Here is a 19710-nt window from a genome sequence, read left to right as displayed (position 1 = left end):
CCGAGATGGGCAGATCACCTGAGGTTGGGAGTTCGAGACCACCCTGACCAACATGGAGAAACCCCGTCTCTACTACAAATACAAAATTAGCTGGGTGTGGTGGCACATGCCTGTAATCCCGGCTACTCGGGAGGCTGAGGCAGGAGAACTGCTTGAACCTGGGAGGCGGAGGTTGCAGTGAGCCGAGATCATGCCGTTGCACTCCAGCCTGGGCAACAAGAGCGAAACTCCGTCTCAAAAAAACAACAACAAAACCCCAAGCTTTCTTTGGCTATGGAACCCTCCCCATTTAAATAGACTGCCTCTTACTATCTTTGCTTTTCAACTCTTCCTCCAAATTTTTCTTTGATGATCTTTGACTCCTTCTTACTATTTATTCTCTTCTGACTATAATATTACCAGGTACTTGAAGTATCTTGAAAGTCTGAACTACAGAGTTATATGGACAATGAATTCACTGCAACTCAGTAAAGTCACAGGATAGTTTTTATTAGAAGAATTTCTTTGTAATATATAGGGAGCGGCAGGGGGAAAGGAAGACAAATATACAATTTACAGGCAGAAATGCTATCTTGATTGAAAATATGAGTTGGCAGAATTTTAAACAAAGACAACAAGCAAATCTAATGAATCACAAATTAAAGACTTTCAGCCACATACTGTCAGTGGTAGGACATTTGAAGAAAAAACAACTTAGTGCAGACAAGTATTTGAGTAATACGTTTAATAAACTCATTTGTTTGGATGTATTATGTTCACTTTGTAAGAGAATTCACAAAGTTCTCATTATAGTGCTAGAGGATTTTTGTAATGCTTCAGTGCTGAAAGGGCTATATGGGTCTTTTAATAATAATAATCCTGATTATTTTTACATTTTTGTTTTTTAATTTCCTCCTTCAGATTTCTCTTACAGCCTAAGATTGGTAAGAAGAACACTAATGTTTCCTGCAGGAGTTGTCTATGAGATAGCACTAAAGAAAAAAATGAGAAGACCAAACCGGATTTTACAAGCATAAAATAAACTTGAGACTTAGTTTATCCTCTAAATCAGTAGTTCTCAACCAGGAGTGAATGTGCCCTTCAGGGGGTATATGACATGTCTGGAGATATTTTTGAGAAGCCAGAGATGCTAATAAATACCCTGCAAGGTGCAGGACAGTCCCCCCACAACAAAGAATTATCCAGTCCAAAATGTCAATAGTATCGAAGTTAAGAAACCCTGCTCTAAAAAAAGTATCCCAGAAATGAGACATTTCACTAGACAGTAATTCTATTTCCCCATGATGCTATTTACTTCATGAATCCATCAATTTGTTTAGATTTTACTAAAAGCAAACTGAGGGTGGGTGCGGTGGCTCACGCCTGTAATCCCAGCACTTTGGGAGGCCGAGGTAGGCGGATCACTTGAGGTCAGGAGTTCGAGACCAGCCTGGCCAACATGGTGAAACCCAGTTTCTACTAAAAATGCAAAAAAGTTAGCTGGGCGTGGTAGCACATGCCTGTAATCCCAGCTACTCAGGAGTCTGAGACAGGAGAATCGCTTGAACCTGGGAGGCAGAGGGTGCAGTGAGCCAAGATCGTGCCACTGCGCTCTAGCCTAGGCGACAGATGGAGACTCCGTCTCAAAATACACATACGTACGTACATACATACATACATACATACATACATACATACATACATATATACATACGAGACAACTGGAGAACACTTACAAAGTATTTTATGTAACATAAAATGATGAGATGCATATAAAAGTAATGTGTCCTTTCAAAACTCCAAAGTAAAATCATCTTTAAAATCCTAAAATAATCTTTAGGATACAAATACTTACTCTCAATGATTCCTGGAATGAGGAGGCCTGGTACTGTGCATATTTAGCAATTGTAGTATGAGATCTATTACTTTCACAATGCCAGATTTTCTTTGTTCCAGTGGGATCCCAGTTTTCATCTGCTGGCTGCAACAACTGTGTCCTCACTTCTACCATATGTTCATTGTTAGCTTCCACCAAAGTTTTAGTAGAGAAAAGTCCCAGGTCTTCATGAATACATAAATGTAGTTAAAAAATGAAAATTATATTTGGGATAATATTTTAAGTGCTTTTTTTTTTTAAAGGAAGAAGGTAAAGCATTTTACGGCACTGTATCCAGTTCCCATAAAAAACTAGGGCCTCTGCACAACCTGAGCTATGTGCCAAGTTTGCAGAACCATACGCTGAAGCCCTGAATCTAACTGCTATGTCATCCCATCCGAGAAAGAATTAAGTGTGAAAGGACTGAAATTTCACTTATTTATTTAATTTCTGCAGATGCCAGGAAATACTTATGGGGCTATAGTATTTATTAGTAGCATCAAATTTCACCTACATTTTATAATCAAATTTTTTCTATTAACCTAAATCACAATTATGTAAACGGACCAAAGTAATAGCTAAATTTAAAAACCTCCACCAAATTGTCAGTAACCAGTATCACCAACAATATATTCACATCATGGATTAAAGAAGTGATACACACACTCTCTCTCATTCTTAGTACTAAAAAAAAGTAAAATTAAAATACAAAAAAAGAAAAAAAAAGAAAAAAGAAAAAAAAGAAAAGTATCTGCCAGTGCTGGAAAAGTTAAAAGATAGCAAAACAAAGAGACAAACGTTTTCCTTTTTTAATTTAAGGCTTACCTAACTTAAGAGCTCCAGCAAGGCCACGTATTACTGTAACAGGGTTGTTCGGATTTGTACAAAATTGATGTAATGGAGGAAAGAAAGCATCACGTTTATTTTCCAACTGTAAAATTAAAATATGTGGTTAGATCTCAGGAAAACAGAGCTTTTATTTAAATATTATGCTCCAAATTAATATTCATTATTTTTCACAATTTAAATAACGCATTTTATGGGGTGATATTTCTATTTGACAGTATCTTATCACTGTGACTTTTGATTCTAGTTTTAATCAGATAGTAACCACATACATTTCTCCTTTCCATTTTATCATGACAAAAATATGTAGGAGAAATGAAACTGAAATTAAACTTCAAAATCAAAGTGTTTTAAATATTATTCAGTCTTAAAATGAAAAGACAATCTTGACACATGCTGCAACATGGATGAATCTTGAGGACATTATGTTAAGTGAAATAAGCCAGTCACAAAAAGACAAATATTGTATGGTTCCACTTACATGAGGTATCTAGAATAGTCAAATTTATAGAAACAGAAAGTAGAATGGTAGTTGCCAGGGGCTGGCAGGAGGGAGAAATGGGTAGTTGTTCAGTGTGTAGTTTCAGTTTGTCAAGATGAGAAAGTTCTGGAGATTGGTTGGACACCAATGTGAATATGCTTAACAGTACTGAACTGCACACTCAGAAATGGGTAAGATGGTAAATTTTATGCTATGTGTTTTTAAAAAATCACAATATAAGAGAGGAAAAGAAAAAAAATTATGCCTAAACAAATATTATCAAAGAAAGCAGACTGAAGAGGACCCATAAAAGATAAAAACTTAATTTTGCATTTTTTTTTCTCCTCAGAGCTCACTTTACAAGTTTTTTTACATGTCTATCCCAGTGCTTCCCTTACATAGTAAGGGATAAACAACAACTGGTTGGAGGAAGAATTAATATGATAATATTTGGCCTCTAGAGGGCAAGGGGGTTAAATCTATAAAACAAACTCTAGTACCATTTTATAGATGCAAGATCATTATACATATACTACCCTAACTTTATACTTACAAAATTTTAATTTGGGATAGAAGCAGGAAAATGAAAGGAAATAGGATAGGAAGATCTATTTGGAAGAAACAGAAATAGGAATTGTTTTGATTGAACTGCTAATGACTTCCTATATCAGATTCCTATATTTCTATAAAGTAAAACTAGTATCTAGTTTTAAATGTTTTAAATAACCTATTAAGTTTTTTTAGTCACATATATCTACTATCACACTTATGTTCTCAAACACTTATTTTGAAGGTAGTATCTTTTTTGGGGGGGTAGATGTATAAAACAGAATGAATGTTAAGGTCCACATAACTAAGTAGAATGTGGATTTAAAACCCAGTTTACTAAAAAAAGTTACACTTTTAGGTAGCTTTTTCCTAACGCTGCTCAAAATTAGGGCAATAAAAAATGTTTCTCATGATTCTAATATCATCACAGTTAATAGCTGAGAAGGTCCTTTAAAAATGCTATTACAAAATCTTCTTGAATATATCTTCCCCCCCGCCCCCAAACTATTTAATCTGCTGCCAATAATTGTAATGTTTCCTAAAGGGCATCCATGTAAATTTAAAGATTTTATGAAAGACAGGTAGTTGCAAACACTGTTTTATTTCTAGTCAGTCAATTCAGACTCACGTAAATACTAGGTGTAGGTGGATTCAACTTGTCCTTTGGCAAGGGAGGGTATGGTGAAGATGGTGGTCTTGGAGGTGGACATTTATCCAACAAAATGCTACTGTTAGATAAGCCATTTTTACCTAGATTCCTGGAAAAAAAAAAAAAGGGATAATCAGTTGTACATTTATTTGGAAAACAGAAAAAAAAAAAAAGAATCCTGAATTAAGTCCTAATTAAATTACTAGGCATTTGCACAAGTCCATGAGATGTGGGATGTGGATCCATCAGGAAAAACACTAAGAATGATTATTAATTTCAGCAAAGACTTGATTCCTATATATCCTCCACTGAAGGAAAATAAAAGATATCACAACATATAAATTATTGATGACATTCCTTATTTTGCTCGTAATTTTCCAATTTATTTTCACCTAAACAACAAACATGAGCTTACAATTTCCTCTCTACCATCACATTCTTTTCCATCAATGTTAAAATATTAACTTGACCAAAAAAAGTTCTAGGTAATAGTAAAAAACAGAATGTCTCTTTTCCTGTGTCTCATCTTAGCAATTATAATCAGAATATCTTTGTAACAACTCTCAAACCTGAGATTTTTTCCTTTTTCTCAAATCAGAAAAAAATTTCCTATGCAACTCCTTGACTATACAGCAAATTATGCTACTTCTTTTTAAACAATGCATATAACTGCTATCTACTCTCTGACACTGTATATAATTATTACTTACTGGTATTTAGGTTGATGAAGGTATCACTCTGTTAAAATTATAAATTCTTAAGATAGTGTAGAATTATTCCCTAACAATAATTCTTTCAGTACAAGCAAGATATTTCCAATGTTTCTACTAAACTTAGAAAATCAACAAGAAATAATTTTGAGCTTTCAAACCACTCCAGTTTAACTAACTTACCCCACCGAATTATTACAAGTTCAAAAGCAATCAATGCATTAAAATATTAAGTACTCTTAATATATTAAATTTCAAGTAATAATTTGAAATTTTCAATTATTCTGGGAACTCAAAAACTCAGTAACTTAAGAAGGAATTAGCTATTTTCATCACAAAGAATAAAACAGGTTGAAACAAAATTAATTTTCCTTATCTTGCTACACTGAACAAAGTGTTACAAATTAGCCTGTTTTGGTTGATACTAATGAAAACTAGGGCTTAAACCTTCACTGCCATAGACTTTTAAGATGTTATACTAAATAGCATCATGGGTGTTACTTTCTTAATTTTTTCAACTACAACTCCAAGTAAAAACAACAAAGTTCATGGCAGGTCTCAAAGGAATGATTTACATTTAAAATAATTGACTTTTAAATAAAAATACATGAAAATATTATTAAACTGAAATTTTACATTCAGCTAACAAGTAAGGTTAAAGGTTGAATAAATTTTCTGTCCAAAACTAGTTTTCAATCTCTTTCCACAAAGCACATGTGCCTTGTACATTTAAAGACAGATATACACTTAAGCTTTTAGATTTGGGTATAAAGTTGGTACCAATTTATAAACTCCATCAAATTTTTGCTTTTAACATGTAGAAAATTTTTGGCGAGACTGGGAAAGAAACAACTCAAGTATTATCATTAAACCAATGCAAGATAAAACAGTTACAATATCTACATAAATAATAGTTTTCATGCTGAATTGTGTATCTGCCACTCTATCGAATATAAGCAAAATATGACTCAGAATACAGAAACTGTCTTTTAGGAAAGGAGATGGATATACTACTGTAGAGTAAATGGTTACTATTTTGAAGAAATTGAAGTATATGAACCATGTATTAAAACTGTGCTATACAAGAGCATCTCAAACTAATTAAATGTGGCACCTAAATTTAAGCTTCTACAACATACTGGACATTGAGAGATGAGACTAGAAAACAAGGTTTGACAGATTAGTAGAATTCTGTCTCTGTCATTTACACAGATCTGTAACAATTAAAAAAGAGACAAATGACAAAGTAAAACAATGGAAAATGTTGTTGCCAATATTTTAAAATAGAAAAGAAAAAGGTGGGGCATGACTAAGGGAGCTGACAACAATTCAATCACTTGAATGTTGCAATTACAATTTTAGACATGAAAGAAGCAAAAGTATTATAACTGCCTTTTAATGTATACCACTGACCACTGCAACAATAAGATAAACTAAACAAGAATCAGATTTAAAAATAACCAGCACTTTAACTACATATATGGAAATAAAGGGGTATCCAATAGTGCATTCAAGTCATACCTAGCAGTTTCTTATTGTGTTTGAAATGCTGACTACCTGCCTATTAAGGTCAATTTTCAAACACATAGGAATTTCCCTGAAGGAACTGATGGTATCTATAGTGCTCTGCATAGCAAATATAAGCTATTTCCACTTAAAATATATTGACCAATCCTAATGCAAAGGGCAGGGCTGTGATAACAGGAATAGACTTTATCTTCTATGTAAATGCCCAACACTGTTTAGAACACCTCAAGCCAAATAATAAAACTTTCATATAAAAATCCAAAGTGGAGAAAGGAGTTGAAGAAAGAAGCAGATTTTGGACCAAAACAGCATGGTACTGGTACCAAAAGAGAGATATAGACCAATGGAACAGAACAGAGGCCTCAGAAATAACACCACACATCTACAATCATCTGATCTTTGACAAACCTGACAAAAACAAGAAATGAGGAAAGGATTCCCTATTTAATAAATGGTGCTGGGAAAACTGGCTGGTCATATGTAGAAAGCTGAAACGGGATCCCTTCCTTACATCTTTTACAAAAATTAATTCAAGATGGATTAAAGACTTAAACGTTAGACCTAAAACCATAAAAACCCTAGAAGAAAACCTAGGCAATACCATTCACGACATAGGCATGGGCAAGGACTTCATGACTAAAACACCAAAAGCAATGGCAACAAAAGCCAAAATAGACAAATGGGATCTAATTAAACTAAAGAGCTTCTGCACAGCAAAAGAAACTACCATCAGAGTGAACAGGCAACCTACAGAACGGGAGAAAACTTTTGCAATCTATCCATTCTGACAAAGGGCTAATATCCAGAATCTACAAAGAACTTAAACAAATTTACAAGAAAAAAACAAACAACCCCATCCAAAAGTGGGCAAAGGATATAACAGACACTTCTCAAAAGAAGACATTTATGCAGCCAAAAGACGCATGAAAAAATGCTCATCATCACAGGTGATCAGAGAAATGCAAATCAAAACCACAATGAGATAACCATCTCACACCAGTTAGAATGGCAATCATTAAAAAGTCAGGAAACAACAGATGCTGGAGAGGATGTGGAGAAATAGGAACACTTTTACACTGCTGGGAGTGTAAACTAGCTCAACCATTGTGGAAGACAGTGTGGAGATTCCTCAAGGATCAAGAGCTAGAATACCATTTGACCCAGCAATCCCATTCATTACTGGGTATATACCCAGAGGATTATAAATCATGCTACTATAAAGACACACGCACACGTATGTTTATTGTGGCACTATTCACAATAGCAAAGACTTGGAACCAACCCAAATGTCCATCAATGATAGACTGGATTAAGAAAATGCAGCACACATACACCATGGAATACTATGCAGCCATAAAAAAGGATGAGTTCATGTCCTTTGCAGGGACATGGATGAAGCTGGAAACCATCATTCTGAGCAAATTATCACAAGGACGGAAAACCAAATACTGCATGTTCTCACTCATAGCTAGGAACTGAACAATGAGAACACATGGACACAGGGTGAGGAACATCACACACCGGGGCCTGCTGTGGGGTGGAAGGCAGGGGGAGGGATAGCATTGGGAGAAATATCTAATGTAAATGACAGGTTGATGGGTGCAGCTGGCCAGCATGGCACATGTATACCTATGAAACGAGCCTGCACATTGTGCACATGTACCCTAGAACTTAAAGTATATATATGTATATATATATATATTATTATATTTTTTTAAATAATATACAATTTATTAATACAAACTTATGAAAACTGCTACTATACACAGTTTGTAACTTGGGGAACAGAACATAGCTCCATGGAACTCTTTCTGACAATATTCCTCCTTAGGTCCCATGCAGTTCATGATGTTAGTTTTGAACCTCCAAATCTTCCCCATTTTCTAGCAACTGTCCTGAGTCTACAGAGAGTGGATGAGAGAGAAAGCCCCTGCTCCAGCAGTTAGAGCAGCAGTACCTAGGAAACAGGACAGAGGCCCCAGCAGATGAGTGAGGAGCAGGTAGAAGACAGTCAAACTGGCAGTGAATCAAGGCACTGTCTAAGGAGAGCCAAGTGTAGCATTTAATCTGAACACTCCCTATTTTCTGTAGGCCCAGAGTTGAACTGAATGATAGCCTAACTTCAAAAAAAAAACTAATATAAAAACCTATAATATAAAAATTTCTAAAGAAACAAATTTTAGGAACTCAAGAACCTCACTATATGCTTTAGAAGAATTTCATTTAGAGATCATCCAATGTCCTCTTAAGTTACTGACCTTAAAAAATCTTGTAAGACAGTTAAGATTAATTACAGCAATCACCATGTTGTAGGTCACTAAGGAAAATGCTGCCAACAACGTGGACCCAATAAAGAAAAAAATAAAATATAAAAAAGGATGTAATTTCTGCCCTAGTCTATGTCAGAATAACAACTAAATAGTTAAAATTTGACAGGAAATAATGAAATAGAAACTAACAGAAATAGAAACTAATAGAAAATGAAACAAAGACCAGCTGGGCACAGTGGCTCACGCCTGTAATCCCAGCACTTTGGGAGGCAGAGGCAGGTGGAACACTTGAGGTTGGGAGTTCAAGACCAGCCTGACCAACATGGAGAAACCCCGTCTCTACTAAAAAATACAAAATTAGCCAGGTGTGGTGCTGCATGCCTGTAATCCCACCCAGCTACTTGGGAGGCTTGAGGCAGGAGAATCGCTTGAACCTGGGAGGCAGAGCGTGCGGTAAGTTGAAATCGCGCCATTGCACTCCAGCCTGGGCAACAAGAGCGAAACTGTCTTAAAAAAAGACAAGAAAAGACAAGAAAAGACAAGAAAAGACAAGAAAAGAAAAGAAAACACAGACCAAAAGGTATTTTTAACACTCAAACTCTTTAAAGAAAAATGACTATAGTGTAATTTATAGTAAAGTTCTAGTGTCACAATTAAAGCGATAAATTTAAATTAATTGAAATTTCTTCTCCATACTCCATTGCTCCTACCCCACATCCCTCCCAAGCAGCAAACTTATATATAAATAAAATTTAATTTCACCTCAATCATTCGTCAGTGACAAACATTTAACGGTAGACCCAGGATACCTTCTAATAAAATAATCTGAACAACAGAAAAGATAATCACACTTTTACATAACAATAAATAAGACATATAAGTACTAGCAACTGCAGGAAGAGGTTTATATGGCTATAAATAAGAATTGTTTTGAACTTTAAAATGTAAAAGCTATATTAAATGGTCAATGTAGCCAAACTAGAACTAATGTTTATAATTTCTATTTATAGAATGGTTATTTTCTATATATCATGACAATCTACAACCAAAAAAAGATCTTTTTAAAATCTACTATATGTCTGCTCAAACTTAACATTTAATGTATCAGAAAATATTACAGAATTATTTGTTTGTTCCAGTTATGTTAACTAAATTTCATTCAAGATTTAGTCACTTATAGAGGACAACAACTACAAGTAAATGAGAAAAATTATATATGTGTCATATACAATGAAAAGGCCAGTAAGAATCTATATGTCCTCCAAATATCAGAGAAAGATGATGCTGCCTGATCCTTTGATTCTTCTTTTGTGGGACAGAGGAGGTTCATTTCTTCATAAATTTCTGAGGCCCTGCCCTTCCTAGACTAGCAGAATATGTCTGGCTCCTTCCAGAATGGCTGACAGTCTGTCATGTCTCTCCACTGCCCATTGCCCCTGACCTCTTCCTTCCTCTTCTGCCTGCTTTATAACCTCTTCTAGATTCAAACAGTCCAGTTTTCTCAATTGTAAGCAAAGACTAGCCTTGATAAGTGATGGGGTCCATTCCTAGCCTAACATTTAATAGGCTCTGATAAAAAAAAAAAAAAAACCCATAGGGTTTTCCAGCCTTGCTGTATTTGGCCAAATATGATTTAACCCATTCTCTTGTTTAAATCCCCAGAGCGAAGTCAATCACACTGAAGCTGACAACCTAGTAACCAGTAGAGGGCAGTAACAGCACAATCAGACACACCCACTCAAAATAAGCAATTTACAGGAATACTTCTCACATCTGATTTGACTACAACATCTAAGCAAAATAAAGCTTCTGTCAAACTCTTAGATGAATGACTACACCATCTTTTGCTTACTTCCCATATCTTAAACGGTCCAAATTTCAGCATTCTGATCATGCCAGTAAGTCAAACATTTTCACTTTGATGAACTTTCCCACACTAACCTGCATGCCTTCAGAACTTCTGCTGAGCTGGGGTATATGGACACAGACATTGATGGTATGATCTGTGGACTAGGTTTGTGGTTAACCAGAAGCAGATCTGTTTTCATGGGGCTCTGAGATTCTTCCATCCCTTCTCCATTAATTGTGTGTAGCCCACTGTGAGGGCTGTTAAGGCTGGTAACACTGTTTGTGGTTGTCTGCTCAGTGGATTTTGGAGAAGGTGTTGCTGTTGAAATGGCTGAAGATGGTGAAGAGGCAACAGAGTTATCAGTCTTTGTATGAACAGCTGGGTGGATGTTATTGACTTTGTCACAGGTTCCAGTACCCACATTGTTATTGGCTTTTCCCATCAACAAGGCAGAGAGCTGAGGATTGTCTGAACTTAGTAAACCTGGTGACTTAGAATCTCCATGGCTAGGACTGCAAACAGCATCTGCCGTCATCTGATGGACATGATTAGGAAGTCCCTCGACACTGGCAGTGCTGTTAGGTGTCTCTCCAGTGTGCCTGCTTGTTTCAGGCACCGTCAATATGTTTCCTGAAGGCTTGCTCTCTTTGGTTAAGGTAATGCCTTGTTGTCCACCTGAGGTAGCAGTGTGAGAGGAGAGGTGATTGAGAGCAGCCCCCTGTGTTACTGAATTGCTAGGCAGGGTGGGATGTCCGTTCTGATTCTGAATACCAGAGCCAGCTGCCTGGAGATGCTGGGAAGGCCCAGTGGAAGAGAGAGGTCGTTCACCATTAGGACCTGCCGAATGTGAACTCTGACCTTTGTGAAGCCCCTAAAAAGAAAGAAAAATAGTTTAAATCTAATATTAAGCAAACTCAGAATATACAGAATTTAAAATATTAAAGAGAAAAGCCACTAAAAATAAATATCTAACTGTATAAGATAATTTGACCCAAGTCCTAAAGTTATCAAAAAGTACCTGCAACTTAGCTAATCAGTATTTAACATCTTTAGAGAAATTTTTCTTCCTTGCTATCTAAAATGACTCCATTATTAGTGTAGAATAAACTACTTCAGATGAAGCATTACAAATTTTAAGTTCCAATATACATATTTTCATCTCTAAAATCAGACATGGATAGACATATATCATCATTAATAATTAAAAGCTATGACCATGGATCAACATAAACCAACTCTCACTGGTCTGTGATCTGTTAAAAGATTAATATAGAAAGTGAGTTCATTAAGCCTTTAAAATTATCATTAAAATATAATCTTCTGTAATTCAAATCCTATTGTTAAAGTAGCTATCCTCAAAATTAAGGGCAGAACTATTAAATCTATGAAAATATTTCAAAAAATACCTAAAGTTTCCCCATCTATCCATCCACACATATTTAGAAGACTAGATAGGCTTGGTGCAGTGGCTTATGTCTGTAATCCCAGCACTCTGGAAGGCCGAGGCAGGAGGATCGTTTGAGGCCAGGAGTTCGAGACCAGGCTGGGCAACACAATGAGACTCCGTCTCCACAAAAGAAAAAGAGAGAGAGAAAGGGAAAGGGAAAGGGAAAGGGAAAGGGAAAGAGAAAGAGAAAGAGAAAGAGAAAGAGAAAGAGAAAGAAGAGAGAGGAGAGAGGAGGGAGAGAGGGGAGAGAGGGAAGGAAAGCAGGCAGACAAGCTAGGTGTGTTGACAAGTGTGCCTGTAGTCCAGCTACACAGGAGGCCAAGGTGGGAGGATCTCTTGAGCCCAGGAGTTTGAGCCAGCAGTGAGCTAAGATGGTGCCACTGTACTCCAGCCTGGGTGACAGAGCAGAACCTTGTGTCTCTCTTTTTTTTTTTTTTTTTTAAAAAAAAAGGGGAGAAAAAGACATTTTAAGTCTCCACTAATGACTTTGAGATAAACTTTATTTTTCATCACCTGAATTTGAAAACTTAGAAAAATACACTGCTACTGTTAAAGCAATCTGAGGGGGCAGTATACTAACAGTTAATAGAAGTTTTAAGACTAGAGGAAGATCACTTAGGGCATTTAATAGAATGAAAATATGATAACTGGAACTAATTTTTACCTGAAATTTGCCTCTGGTGTCACAGAGAAACTTCTTTAAGAAGAATATTTTCATTTCATTTTACTTACAAAATAATTAAATAGGACAGCCAATTTTTCAGCAACACTGATTAAAGTAACATTGGAATCATAAAACGAGTTTACATTTGGAGTTGAGATTACTTCAGCAACAAGGTTAGAGCATTTTGTCAGTAATAAGCTATAAAAGAATAAAACTATAGCTGATAACAAGATATTTATATACTAAAAGGTGCATTTAATCATCTAGTTAAAGTCAGCTAGCATGCCCCTAAAATCAGTTTCTGAAGCTGAAAATTTTAAACTAATGTTTTTACTCAATAGGCTTATCTACCTAAAACACTAGATATATTAAAAGTTGATACACATTGGCCAGGCGCAGTGGCTCACACCTGGAATCCCAGCACATTGGGAGGCCAAGGCAGGCAGATCACCTAAGGTCAGAAGTTCAAGACCAGCCTGGTCAACATGGTGAAGCCCTGTCTCTATTAAAATACAAAAATTAGCCGGGCATGGTGGTGGGCACCTGTAATCCCAGCTACTCGGGAGGCTGAGGCAGGAGAATCACTTGAACCTAGGAGGCGGAGGTTGCAGTGAGCCAAGATCGCACCACTGCACTCCAGGCTTGGCGACAGAGCCAGGCTCCATCTCAAAAAAAAAAAAAAAAACAAAAAAAAGATACACACCAGTGAGTGTGTAAAGGAGTGCAATTAGTTGTAAATGATTTAATAAGTAACAAAGTTCAATCATAATAAAGGAAGGTTGAAATTTGTAAGTTACATGAAAATTTCTCATAAAGCAAAAACACTGCATATTATAATCATATCAATATTTAAAATATTATCCAAGAAAGTCTGGGTAGGTGAGTTAAAATTTCATCAAATGTAAAATATTTAATTCAGAGGCCAATTATTTAACAAATACACTGATTACAATATGCAGAAATGTGACAAAGTAACTATTTTATTACATCTTCTCTATCTGCAAATCAAGGTATTTTAAGCTACAAATTCTTTAGAGTACTTGCTGAATAATCACCTACAATTAATATAATTTTACTTTCATATCTTAAATTATACCCTTGCTACCAAAAGCAATCTGAATAAACCCATTCCACACTGTAATGTAAATTCCTCCCTTGATCAAAAACTAAAAGGTAGATATACCATATAGGTCTACCAGTTGTCTAGTTTTCATTACAATTTCAAAAATTATTCAAATAGGTTTGTATAAGACAAGTTACCAAAAAGGCCTCTTTAGAGTCTATGATATTAATACCATATATCAACAGCAGAGACAGAGGCTTCCCAGCTGTAGTGATATGCAGAAACTTCATTTGGGAAACTTTTGACCTGGAATCAGTTCAACATCATTTTCTAAACAACTCTCTCAACCTCATTACTTAAATTGTAAAGTTCCTACAGATAATGGCTTTGAAGGGCGTGTGAAGCAAAGGCTGGGGGCTCCCTGCTACTTAGTATGGTAAATTACAGAAGCCTCGTGGCCTGCCAACTGAGGAGTTCCTTTTTATTAGAATTACGAATTACGTTTTTAAAGAATCCCACATTTCCAAAACAGGGTTAAGAGAGTATTGAAAACTTCAGCAACTAAGTGAGCCAAAGAAGTAGATGTGAGAGAAAAGAAAATAGAACTATGCTTTACAATCATAACAAAGGCTTTCACTTATTAACTGCCAGTTATACCTTAGAACTATGATAGGCATTTTAACAAAAATCTCGTGTTATCCTTTTAACAACTGTTTAATGCTTAAAGACAATGAACCCCCAAAATCCCATCCTCTCACCCATTCTAACAATTCCCCTTTCTCCTTTGCCATTTTCTCCCTCTCTACTGAATCTTTCCCATTGACTTTTACTGTTATTTCTCTCATTTTAAATTTAAAACAACAACAAGACAACAACTCCTAATCCCATTTTCCCTGTCAGCTACACCCGGTTGTTGTTCTCTTTTATGCCACGGTATATGGAAATGGAAGCCTTGGCACTGTGCAGTGTGTAGCCCAAACAACTGTAAGCATGTGTGCTGGAACTGTCTATACTTGCTACTTCAGTTTTTCTCTGCCGATTTTATATTATCTTGAAGCGAACTACAATTAGGCTTTTGCACCCCAACAATCCACTGAAATTGCCCTTATCCAATGGTCAGCATATCTTTTCTGTAAAGGATCAGATAGCAAATATTTTAGGCTTTGTGGGTCACCCAGTATCATATATTATTCTTTTTTTACAACCCTTCAAAAATATAAAAATCATTCTTAGCTCACGGGTTATAAAAAACACAGGTCGTGGGGTAAATTTTGCCTGTAACCTGTAGTTTCCTTACTCCAATAATGTCAGCAAATATCTCAGATGGTCAGTTTTCAGTCCTCACTTTATATGACCTATGAGCATTATTTGATCATGTCCTCCTCCTTGAAACTTTCTTCATTTGGCTTCCAGGGCATCACTCACATTGTCTTTGATCTCCTACTATGTCACAGGTCAATCTCTTCTATTCTTCTCTGCTAGTTCTTCAATTTCCTAGCCTAATACACTGGAATGCCCTAAGGCTCAATCTTGAGTTCTTTTCTCAATCTGTTCTCACTGATTGGTGATACCATCCAGTTTCATCCATCCTTCTAGTTGGTCAGGCCAGCTGGGACTCCTTTCTCACACATCACTCTATATCAACTAATCCTGTTGGCTGTACCTTCCAAATATACCCAGAAGCTGACCACCATCTACTACTACCACTCTGGGAGCCATCATCAACTTTTAACCTGGATTACAGGTATAATCTCTAAAATGGTCATACCATTTCTACTTTTGCCTCTTTCAGTCTATCCACAGAGTACCAAAGAGGACCTAGTCAAAAACAAAGTTAGATCACATCACTCCTCTGTTCAAAATCCCCCTACGGTTTCCTGGATACTCAGAATAAAATCCAGTATCCTTATAAGGCTGATCATGATTTAGCCATCCTGTTTCCAGCTGGAGCACATTTCTCTCTCTTCTCACTCCTTGCCTGTCCTGTTCTGCCATGCTTGCCACCTTGATTCTCCTCAAATGTGCACAGCACAATCCTACCTTAGGGTCCATTGCTCCGTGCTGCTCCCTAGACCTGGAACAATCTTATCACAAATAGCTTCAAGGCTCACTCCTGTAACTCTCATCCAAATGCTATCTTTCAGAGAAGCCTTCCCTGCCCTTCTGATTTATAACTGCAACTCTCCTACCACCAATCTCTAGTATTCTGCTGTTCCCTTTCTATTAGTGCTTTTTTCCATAGCACTAATCACAACCATCATCTAATGTTATATATGTATTGCTTATTTGTTTACTATCTATTTACCTACACCAAGTAGAGACATCTCAGTATATTTTCTTTATTGATGTATTCCCAGAGCCTTGAGTAGGAAATGAACCTAGTAGGTACTCAGTATTTCTCTAAGAATGAATAAAGTACTAATCACTTTAGATCAGGGTCCCACCAAGGATATTAATTCAAGAATAAACTTAAAAATCTTAGAAAAAGAACTTATTTCAGTTTTATCAATAATATAAGACTAACCGACAATCAGCCAAATATTTCTCTTTTTAAGTCAAATATTTCTCATAGTAAATTAATAAAAGTACAAGCAATTTGGCTATACATATTGAGAGCATTTTCTTAAAACTTACTCTTTGGCCCTTCAGTTTCACCTCAGCGAGTACCCATATCATGGAAACAATCCAAAATATGGGAAATACTATGCACATAAACATTCAGAAGTAAAAACTTAGAAATTAAATGTCTAACGAATGTGCTAACGTTGAATACATTATGACCCATTTCCTTGACAAAAATAATGTGCATGCAATTCATTACTCTGTTTCAAAAACTTTAGTGGATCAACTTTGCCTTCAAGATAAATTTGGCCTCTCCCTCAGCCTCTTATTTCACCCTCCCCTCTTCATAACCTATCTTCTAGGCACACTTCACCAGCCCTCTCCTCCCCTAAACTCTAGCTTCTGGAAGACTCTGACATCTTGGTTATGTGCTCTCGTAGGTACTCTGATAGAACTTTCCCACCAAAGTCACACTTCACAGTCATTATGGTAAATACTTATTCACTGGTCTTTTTCTCCCACTAAAGCAAATACCTAACACCTAGTTTAGTGCCTGATCTTAAGTAGGCAGTTTATGCAGAAATGAACTAAGTAATATTACATAAATGTGCTTATGATGCCACTGTAAATTAATGGTGCATTTTGGGTGATTTATATGATCTATTTTCTTCCTTTGTAAATTTGCTAAGTTATCTATGTCGGTAGAGACTGTACAAAGGGAACAAAGATATACTCATGTATGTACATAATGAATCACAATGTAGTAACATTGTAGTGCCACAAAATTCTTATAAAACCAGTTCCCCAAACACTTCTCTCTTCTTCTCTCAAAGTGTATAAAACCCAGTAAAAACATTTATGTGAAAAGCCAACAAGGAAGCTAGTCCTCCTATTACCTGAGTGGAGTTAGATAGTTGGTTTTTCCACGGCTCCTCTGCGCTGCTGGTCAGGTTTGTGCGGTTATGAGGTAGAGTGAGTGCGTTTCGCTGCAGGTAAGGCACGTTTCCATTACTTCCACTTCCTGTTATATGATTATTGCCTATCAAAATAGTGTCTGTACTTCCCAGCGTTCTTGATGTGCTACAGGGAACATGGCCTGCAGAAAAGGGTCCATTGGCCAAAGGCTGCCCAGGGCAGGCAGGACGGACTCCAGGCTGAGAGACGCTAGGCACTCTGGTCAGAGCAAGCTGTGGCTGCTGGCCAGAGACTGAGTTTGTAGGCAGTGATGAGTCAGCTGTTGGCCCATTAGGAATTCCAGTAGATCGTACCTGTGCAACTCCTGTTGGTCTCATCTGTCAAAAAAACAAAGGAAAAGTAAATGCTGGTTGTGTAATCTATAGGGAAGAGAATCTATAGGGGATTCTCTATGAATCCCCAGATGAATATGAAGATGTATAATTAGGGAATGTGTGATTTTACCCAAATGCTTAATTTCTCTAAGTTGAGAAATACATACTTTAAAAACAAGAAATTGTATTTGTTCATTTTAAAATAAACTTCCTTGAAAAAGCAAAAGTCGGTTTCAAAAAAAAAAAATCCCATTAGTAATGACAAAAGGAAGCAGCTGAAAATTATAGAAAACGACCCCGAACTTATAGGTCCTTCTCTCAATCACAAAAGAGGGGACATCTCAAAATTTCATTCTGTTACATATATGCCAGATCCTGTAAACTAAATAAGCCCTAAAAACCTTGCCTCAGTACTAAATAATGTAAACAAACCCTTAGAATACATGTGAAATATCATGTAAATAAATAAAATACAAAGTATCTTCTTCAAAATTATAGTTGCTTTTGTCTAAAAATCTCCGTCAATTACCAGTATTTTAAAATACAGAGATTACTAAATTCTGTCAAATACCAGTAGAAAGTAAAAATGAACATAAACATGCTCTAAAATGACATTAGAGTCAATAAAAATACTCAAAATGCTAACAAATTTCAGGGAAAAATATGCTATACACACTTGGTGTTGTTGCATTAAGACAAACTGACTTTCCAGCTGTTCCAGCATCAGTTTCTGTGCTGGATTTAAATTATTTCTATTTGCGCGGAGCTGTTCCAAATGCTAGAAGAAGAACAAAAAGAGAATATAGTCAAAGATATATTTAGGAAATAAGATCATTATTCTAAGCAACCTTTCCCTGAAATGACTAAACTCAGAACCACTATCTGGTCAAACACACTGTCTTCTGACCAACAGTCACACACTCCAAGATGAAGTCCTTTAATAAGCTTGAGAAATATAAGAATGAACTAAGCATTCATCTGAACAAGATTTACTATGAGTTCTTTGTAATAGATGGGCATGAAATTTTACTCATCCATACAGTATTCTTAGGTATTCACAGAGAAAACTCTTGAAGCTTAAAAATATATTGACAAGTATGCTAAAAGCAGCACTGTCTGGAATAAGCAAAGTCTGAAGACAACCTGAATGTCCAAAATTACTGATCTGCTTAAATAAAGGTGTTACATCTATATAAAGAAATATGATGTAACCATAAAAGAACAAGGAAGCTCTTCACATATTGACATGCAGAAGTCTGTAAAATATGTTGTTAACAGCAAATAAGAATCCTATCATTTGTGTAAAAAAGAAGAAAAATAATAATACATGTGAGAAAGGGGGGGATGTATATTTGCTTGTACATACATAACATACCTCTGGAATGATAGATAGGAAATTAGTAATACCAGCCACATTTTGAGTGGGTAGGGGCCAGAGTTAGAAGAAAACTTTACCCTATATACCCTATATTTATACTTTATGTAGTGTAAACCATGTCCTGTTTAAAAAAAAAAAAAGAAATTAAAAACAAGAATGAATGCTCTTCATTATTCTGGTAAATGCAGGCTCATTTTACTTTTGTGCATTTTAATTGAATGTACTGCCATTTAACTTATAAGAATTAATACTTAGGGCTGGGTGCAGTGGCTCACACCTGTAATCTCAGCACTTTGGGAGGCTGAGGTAGGTGGATCACTTGAGGTCAGGAGTGCAAGACCAGTCTGGCCAACATGGCGAAACCCAGTCTCTACCAAAAATATAAAAATTAGCGGGGTGTGATGGTGCGTGCCTGTAATCCCAGCTACTCTGGAGGCTGAGGCACAAGAATAACTTTAACACAGGACGCGGAGGTTGCAGTGAGCCAAGAGCGTGCCACTATACTCCAGCCTGGGTGACAGAGCAAGACTCTATCTCAAAAAAAAAAAAAAAAAAAAAAAAAATTAATACT

General features: G+C 36.2%; 1 protein-coding gene across 25 annotated transcripts in view; it reads right to left on the bottom strand.

The window, feature by feature from the left end:
- Positions 1-19710, bottom strand: part of KDM6A (lysine demethylase 6A) — a 239592-nt gene that overhangs the window by 31594 nt on the left and 188288 nt on the right. For 16 of the 25 annotated variants that reach the window (XR_007068200.1, NM_001419809.1, NM_001291415.2 and 13 more), the window contains 6 exons: positions 18438-18539; positions 17369-17764; positions 10829-11607; positions 4360-4489; positions 2681-2786; positions 1835-2040 (listed from right to left, as the gene is read on the bottom strand). Coding sequence is in view for 23 of the 25 variants with exons in the window: in NM_001419809.1 (NP_001406738.1) it covers positions 1835-2040; positions 2681-2786; positions 4360-4489; positions 10829-11607; positions 17369-17764; positions 18438-18539 (1719 nt within the window). In the remaining 2 variants the exon portion in view is untranslated. The remainder of the gene's footprint in view (positions 1-1834; positions 2041-2680; positions 2787-4359; positions 4490-10828; positions 11608-17368; positions 17765-18437; positions 18540-19710) is intronic. The other 9 variants (NR_111960.2, NM_001419810.1, NM_001419813.1 and 6 more) reach the window with 1 other exon arrangement.

The sequence above is a fragment of the Homo sapiens genome, chromosome X (genome assembly GCF_000001405.40).
Source record: "Homo sapiens chromosome X, GRCh38.p14 Primary Assembly".
Lineage (NCBI taxonomy): Eukaryota > Metazoa > Chordata > Mammalia > Primates > Hominidae > Homo > Homo sapiens.
The sequence above is the reverse complement of the archived record's forward strand: the minus strand, read 5'-3'. Positions and strand labels throughout refer to the sequence as shown.